Source organism: Homo sapiens, chromosome 7 (assembly GCF_000001405.40).
Source record: "Homo sapiens chromosome 7, GRCh38.p14 Primary Assembly".
Lineage (NCBI taxonomy): Eukaryota > Metazoa > Chordata > Mammalia > Primates > Hominidae > Homo > Homo sapiens.
The window spans coordinates 29,616,841-29,624,648 of NC_000007.14; the positions used below are offsets into that span (position 1 = coordinate 29,616,841).

The 7,808-nt window shown below is 38.4% G+C and overlaps 1 annotated feature.

Annotated features, from left to right (window-relative positions):
- Positions 5,693–5,987: a silencer, noted in NCBI's record as "tiled region #12919; HepG2 Repressive non-DNase unmatched - State 10:DNaseD, and K562 Repressive DNase matched - State 8:EnhW". NCBI's record gives its function as "represses a minimal TATA promoter and a strong SV40 promoter by Sharpr-MPRA in HepG2 and K562 cells {active_cell/tissue: HepG2 | K562}" and the evidence as "EXISTENCE:reporter gene assay evidence [ECO:0000049][PMID:27701403]".

A 7,808-nucleotide genomic window follows, 5' to 3' on the forward strand; every position in this document is an offset into this window, starting at 1 on the left:
GATTCCTCAGGCCTCAGATAATGAATCGATATGACTGGTGGAGAATCTTTGGTAATGTTAACATTTACCTAGTGAAAGCAGAAAGTGCTATCCAAAATGACATGCTAAGATTCTTTCTAGTTTAGCAAGTTCATGATCTATTTGCTGTTTATTTGTTCATTTTATTAAACATTTATTGTGTCTACCAGGTAGGGTGAGCAACCATTACTGTGCCCAGGACTGAGGGATGCAAGACTTCCAATGCTAAAAACTCAAAAGTTTCAGCCAAACCAGAATGAGACGATTATCCTAATAGTCTGTGCTTTTTTGGTTTTTACTTTTTTTTTTAATGCTGTTGTGTTAGACTGAACAATGGCCCTCTAAAATGCCCACGTTGTAACCTCTGAAACCTGTGAACACATTATCTTCTGTGGTAAAAGGGACTATGCAGATAAGTTAAGGATCCTGAGATGAGATTATCCTGCATTATCTTGATGGGCTCAGTGTGACCACAGGGAACCTTAGAGTCGAAGACAGAAGGCAATGGGATGATGGAGGCAGGTAGAGGGAAGGCAATGGCTATGGAACAGAGGTTGGAGTGATGATGCGTTTTGATGATGGAGGAAGAGGCCACAGCCCAAGGAATGTGGGCACCTGTAGAAGCTGGTAAAAGCAAGAAAACAGGTTCTCCTCTGCAGCCTGAAGAAGGAATGGAGCCTTGCCAACACCTTGATTTTAGGATTCTGACTTCCAGAAATGTAAGAAAATTAACTCATGATATAACCTAGCAACATCTCATTGTATCCCTCGGACTTCTGTGCTTTTAAGGAAGGACCCATGTGATTAAATGGGGCCCACCAAATAATCCAGGGTAATCTCCCTAGTTTAAGGTCAGCTAATTAGCTACCTTAATTCCATCCTCAAACTCAATTCCCCTTTGCCATGTAAGGTAACATCTTCACGGGTCTTGGCAATTAGAAAATTAAAATGTAGACATCTTGGGGGGCCATTATGACTCTCATACCCAGCAATCCTAAGCAAGTGCTATTTGTCCAAAAAAGAGGAAATTTATGTTCAAATGAAAACACACCTGTGAATATTTATAGCATCATTATGTGTTATTGCCAAAAACTGGAAACAACCCAAATGTGCATCCATTGGAGAATAGATTTTTTTTTTAAAAAAAAACTGTATCTATACATGGAATACTACTTTGCTAAATATGAATGAACTATTGATATATGCAGCAACTTGGATGACTCTCATGCATTATGCTGAATGAAAGAAGCCAGACTCAAAGGCTATGTAACATATGATTCCATTTAGATGATATTCTGAAAAAGTAAGACTATATAGACAGCAAATAGATAAGGTTGCTACAAAGGGACTTGAAGGAACATTTAGGGACAATGGAAATATTCTACATCTTGACTGTGGTGATGGGTTCATGACTATATGAGTTTGTCAAAACCTATAGAACTGTGTAGTAAAAATACAGAAGGAATTCCAATTAATGAATGTAGAAGAAATGGGGGAAATAAAGAAATCATCTTTAGAACACCAGTATAATAATTAACATATTAAATATTAAAATTTGTGGGCAAAACTTTAAAGAAAAACAAGAGAGTTGCATAGCCTCAAAGTATCTCGTTCATGATATTTTCAGCTACTGTGGTAGTTTTAACACATGTCACAGTTATTTCTGTAGATAGATACTTCTTCCTCCAAAACGTGAGACTTCATTCCCTTGCCGTTGAGTGTGGGCTGAACTTAGTGATTTGTTGACTAATACGTATGGAAAGGGAAAAACCTAACTTTGCACTAGAGAAACCTGGAAGAAACCACCTTGACCAAGTGATCAAGGTTAATATGACCAGTGAAAACTCCTGGTGATATCACGTGCCCCCGATAGGATGCAGGGAGAAGGGCACATACCTCTGTGGTATTCTTCCTCCAAATCCATGACCTCAGCTTGATCATAAGAAAATATCAGACATACCTGAGGGACATTCTACAAAATACCGGAATAATGCTCTTTCAAAGTGCCAAGATCTTGAAAAACAAGGAAAAAAACAGAATTTTTCGCAGATTGAAGAAGTCTAAGGAGACATGTCAAGTAAATACAAATATGATTTCCTAGTTTGGATCTTTGAACAAAGGACATTGGTGGAAAAACTGGCAGAATCCAAAGGAAGTCTATAGTTTAGTTAGTAAAATGCCAATGCCGATTTCTTCGTTTTGATAAATGTACCACAGTTAAGTTTAAATGTTAACATTAGGGGAAGCTAAAGAAGAATAGACAGGAACTCTATGTGCTATCTTTACAACTCTTTTGTAAATCTAAAACAATTTCAAAATTTAAAAAATTTTGAAATATAAACAAGTAAACATTTAAAAAATGTCACCAGGTGATTCTGATGAGCCAGTAGCATTAAGAAGCCCTAGGGAAAAGCAGAAATCTGAGCTGAGTCACATAGTGATAAAATACCATTAGCCATTTGAGGGAAACGATGACAAGTTAGTTACCGTAACTGTTTTCCACAGCGAACATAATAAGGGATGGTGGAAAACGAGGAAAGAGAGGTACCTGGGTCAGATTATGAAGTCTTTTATACCACACAGGATAAGAGCTTAGTCCCTTACACTGTTGGCCTTGAGACGCCATTACAATTTTTAAAGCAGGGTGTAGCTGTGTTACTGGAAAGGGGTCTCAATCCAGACCCCAAGAGAGGATTCTTGGATCTCACGCAAGAAAGAAGTCAGGGCAAGTCCACAGAGTAAAGTGAAAGCCAGTTTATTAGGAAAGTAAAACAATAAAAGAATGGCTACTCCATAGACAGAGCAGCCCCAAGGGCTGCTGGTTGCCCATTTTTATGGTTATTTCTTGATGATATGCTAAACAAGGGGTGGATTATTCATGCCTCCCCTTTTCAGACCATATAGGGCAACTTTCTGATGTTGCCATGGCATTTGTAAACTGTCATGGCACTGGTGGGAGTGTAGCAGTGAGGACGACCAGAGATCACTCTTGTCGCCATCTTGGTTTGGGTGGGTTTTAGCTGGCTTCTTTACTGCACCCTGTTTCATCAGCAAGCTCTTTATGACCTGTATGTTGTGCTGAACTCCTGTATCATCCTGTGACTTAGAATGTCTTAACCATCCGGTAATGCAGCCCAGTAGGTCTCAGCATCATTTTTACCCAGCCCTTATTCAAGATGGAGTTGCTGTGGTTCAAACACCTCTGAAAATGGGATCTCATACTTGGTGTTAACAATACCAATCGCTTAAAAACACGTTACAAATTTATTTTTTGAAGGATGTGAACTTAAGTGTGGATGCCATAAGAAAAACATTTTGGAAAATATTCATGTGCTTTGCTTTGTGTGTTTCTGCATTATGCCACGTTTTCCCTAGTTAGGTAGGAATTGTGGGCAGGGACTGGGAAGAATTAGGATTGTCATAGCAGAAGTGCAACAGGGAAGAGTTAAGGATAAGCTTCGAATATGCAAAGTAGGATTTTGCAGGAAGTAATTTGCAAGGAAGGCTGAGCCAAGCCCATGGAATAGACCAATGAGTTTATTGTAAAGTAACACCAGATTGAAAAGGAAGAAACAAGACAAGCTCCCCCTCTAGCCCCAGGAGTGCCTTTCAGTAGCTAACATTTTAAATTTTTCCAAAAGCAGGTTTTTATTAGAGGTGTGATCTTCCTCTGAGTGAGTCTTCAGGACAATGTTCTTGGGGAGAGGGATGGGCAGGATTATTCAGTCAATGACTATGTGCTCAGGTTGCCTGGAATGGGTGGACTGGAACCAGAAAAACTCAGCTTCCCAAAGGATCAAGACTCCCCTCACCCTTGCAGCTTGAATCCTGTTTCTTAAAGGGTTGCCAGGAGCTTACAGTTGATGGGGTCAGACAATGTCTTGCACAGGTGGTATGGAACATGTTTGCGTGCCTGGTCCTTGTGTGCTTAGAGCTTATTAGCTACAAACAAGATTGTCGTTGTATTTGCAGCTTTAGAAAAGAGATTAGCAGGGGAACAGAGACTCTCTCTTAAAACTGAGCTCTCTGTCCAGCTGCATTGCCCTGGTCCTGTTTACTTACTAAATATATCCATCAGTGGAAAGCTAGTTAACTGAATTTTAGAACAAATATACAATAGAATACTGTGCAGTCATTACAAATGATGATGAGGATGTATAATTTTCACATTAAAAGATATAAATAAATATCTTGAAGGAAAGGAAATTAGTTAAATTCAGGATAAGTATGCTCTAGTTCATAAAAATAATACTTTGTAAATTTGTACATGAGATTGTGTGTCTACATATATGCACAGAAAACTATACAAAAGGCTATTCAATAATTTAACATCTTTTATCACTTAGAGATGATGTTTTGGTTAATTTTTACTTTTTCCTTTGAGCTTTCTGTATTACTTTTTAAATTTTACTTTTACATTCTAATTTTATTATCAAAAACATAAGGAACTCTTTTCATTGTGAAATAAAGTATTTATGATGCTCCACAAAGTGCACTGAACATTGCTCACATCATTTAATTATCATTTCAAATAACTATTAACATTTAAAAACAGAAATTTAAAATTAAATAATTAAATTAAAAATAAATAGTTAAAAACTGTATTTTATATGTGTCTGTGCTGTAGTTTATATACGATTTCTCTTATGTTGGGGGTTTGGGTCAATTCAAACTTTTGATAAATTAATGGATGAATATTTTATATATAAATTCTTGAATGTTTGACTAGTTCATTAGGATATAGATAAAAATTTACTAAAGTAAAATAAATTTAAAGAAATATGGCCAAATTTCCCTACCTAATAACTACAGGGTCTTTATCTAGTTATATTTGTGTATTATTGTTCTAAAAATATCATTGCTCTTTGATAATTAAAAAGAAACAATCTTGTTTTCATTTAGATTTTTTTAGTTCCTAGAGAGGCTGGACATCTTAATGTTATTTGCTATTTTCATAAAATATTAAATTTATGAATTATGTTTTCCTAGGCTTTGTTAATTTAAATTTAAACTGAGGGAAGGGAATCTTTCTATAATAAGGCCATGAACTCACTTCTACAAATATTTATAAATATTTACTCATTTTTATATTCTTTATTTTTATTCTATTGGTTGTGGTTTTAAAATATATATATACGGATGTAATAAATGTTTTATGCAGCCAAATCTATTACAAATTTTTCTTTTGTAATATTGTATTGATTTGTATGCCTGGAAAGTCCTTTCCCCATCCCAAACCCAGTCAGCTACTTATTCTTCCTTATTTTATAGCTTAATCATTTACATCTAATTCTTTAGTTTGTTTGGAATTTATGCTGATGTATGATATGGGATGAAGATCTAAATTATTTTCTCCCAAATGGTTAACCACCTATTAAGATACTAAATTATTATATCTACTAAGGCCTGGTACCTAATTGTTGGGCCAGTTAGAGGGTTTTTCAAGAATAATTTGAAGCAGTTTATAGTTAATTGCCTGTTAGAAAAAGCATCTAGAAAAACTAAAACCTCCGGCGACAACTAGTCCCCACACCTTTCCTGGTTTTGCACCTGTATTACCTTCCTGTTCCTGGCTGCAGTGAGCTCCTGATCAACCCCGTCCTCCTCCAAGTGCATTGCAGTGCATTGCAGTCCATTGCAGCCCTGTAGCAGAAGCAGAGAGGCAGGTATTAATTTGGGGTGAAACAACCAGGGCTACCTCCTAGAGCTGTCCCTGTGCAGTGGAGAGATAACCGACAGTTGCTCAACAACGAAGGCTCCAAATCTCTGGGGTCTCGGGATACATGGAAACCTCTTCTTCAACCTGGGACAGGAGCCCCTTAGACACAGGCTAATAACACTTCTCCTGGTGTGTGACAGATAGTTGACTAATGTGTTTCCTGCCTGGGAGTTGCAATTGGCAGCCGATTCTATGAAAGGCTTTCATGAATCATTTTGGAAAGCATGCATGTTGAGGAGCAGGGAGGTGAGTCAGGCATCTCTCTGCCTAGCAGCCCAGCCCCTGTAACGCAGATGTCCACTAATTACTTTCATACTTAAATGATTTACTACATTTAAATCAGTCCTTTAGAGAGGACCTCATACTTGCTGATGCAATGAGTATACAATAAATTGTAATGTATATAAACTATATAAAGCATCTGACAATGCTTTGCTTCCCTATTCATAAACTTGGATATTTTTAACTGGTATTTTATGCCTTAAAGATAAGTCCTTTTTTTTTTTTTTTTTTTTTTTGAGACAGTGTCTCCCTCTGTTGCCCAGGCTGTAGTGCAATGGCACGACCTCGGCTGACTCCAACCTCTGCTTCCCGGGTTCAAGCGATTCTCCTGCCTCAGCCCTTTCCGAGTAGCTGGGACTACAGGTATCTGCCACCATACCTGGCTAATTTTTGTACTTTTAGTAGAGGCGGGGTTTCACCATGTTGGTCAGGCTGGTCTCAAACTCCTGACCTCAACTGATCCACCGGCCTCGGCCTCCCAAAAAAGATAAGTACATTTTAATTATTGTAGCCACTGTAAATGCACTTAAAGCTAATTATACCGAAGGGGAAAAGAGAAGAGTTTCAAAATTCTAAATGATAATACTTTACTTTTTGTAGCCCTGTCTTATCCAAAATAACTCTTCAACATAAACTTTCCCAAAACTTATTTTTCGTGAAAAAATGTGTGTCCTGTTCTAATGCAGGTCTTCATGTGTCTGCAATAACTGTATCCCATTCCAGAATATGTTGCTGAAAAAAACCCACTAGCAAGGTGGCAGTGTTATTTCAACAGGATCTCCCACACCTTATGGCTACTTTTATTCAGAGTATAGTGCAATTTCTCCTTAGTGAATTAATCTTTTTTTTTTTTTTTTTTTTTGGAGACAGAGTCTCGCTATGTCGCACAGACTGGAGTGCAATGGTGCGATCTCGGCTCACTGCAACCTCTGCCTCCTGGGATCAACCGATTCTCCTGCCTCCGCCTCCCGAGTAGCTGGGATTACAGGCACCTGCTGGCTAATTTTTGTATTTTTAGTAGAGATGGGGTTTCACCATGTTGGCCAGGCTGGTCTCAAACTCCTGACCTCAGGTGATCCACCCACCTCGGCCTCCCCAAGTCTAGCATTACAGGTGTGAGCCAACACGCCCAGCAGAATTAATCTTTCAATAGAACTTCTTCTGTACCATTCAGCAAAATAACCCCACTCAGATCCAACCTACCATCTATAAGTGATTAGAGATAAGTGTGTTTTGTGCATTTCTGAATATTCTATTCTAATGTGCTCTCTAGTCACAAATAAGCAGCTGAGTCAGCCTGCCCTCGGGGCTGTTGCATCCAGATTTTAATCTACACACATAATTGTGTGGCACTTTATTCATCTGGCTGGGCAGTGACTCAAGTGTGTCTCTAAAGGGGCAGAAAATTGAAAAGCTAACAGGCTATCCTGACATCTCAGATCAATGGTTTTTCTTCCTTCCTATCACCAAATTTTGAGAAACTTACCTGAGTTAGAAAAGTTGCTGCAGCTGTTCCCTCCGGCAGTATGTTCCATTCTCCATGGCTCCTAATTAGTGTTCAACTTGGTCTTTTTTTCCTACTCTAGCTTAAGATGCATCTCCTTGACTCCATCCACCCCATCCAATACATGTGTCACTGCCTCTGCTCCTGAGCCTGGCTGTGTGTCTACCCATTATAGGCTGGCTCAACCAAGCTCAATCCAGGCACTGCTAAAGAGGCCAGAAACGATGCCAATGGACATGCTATCAATGGCACAAGGTATGTCAGAGCTAGATTTGTATTCATTTT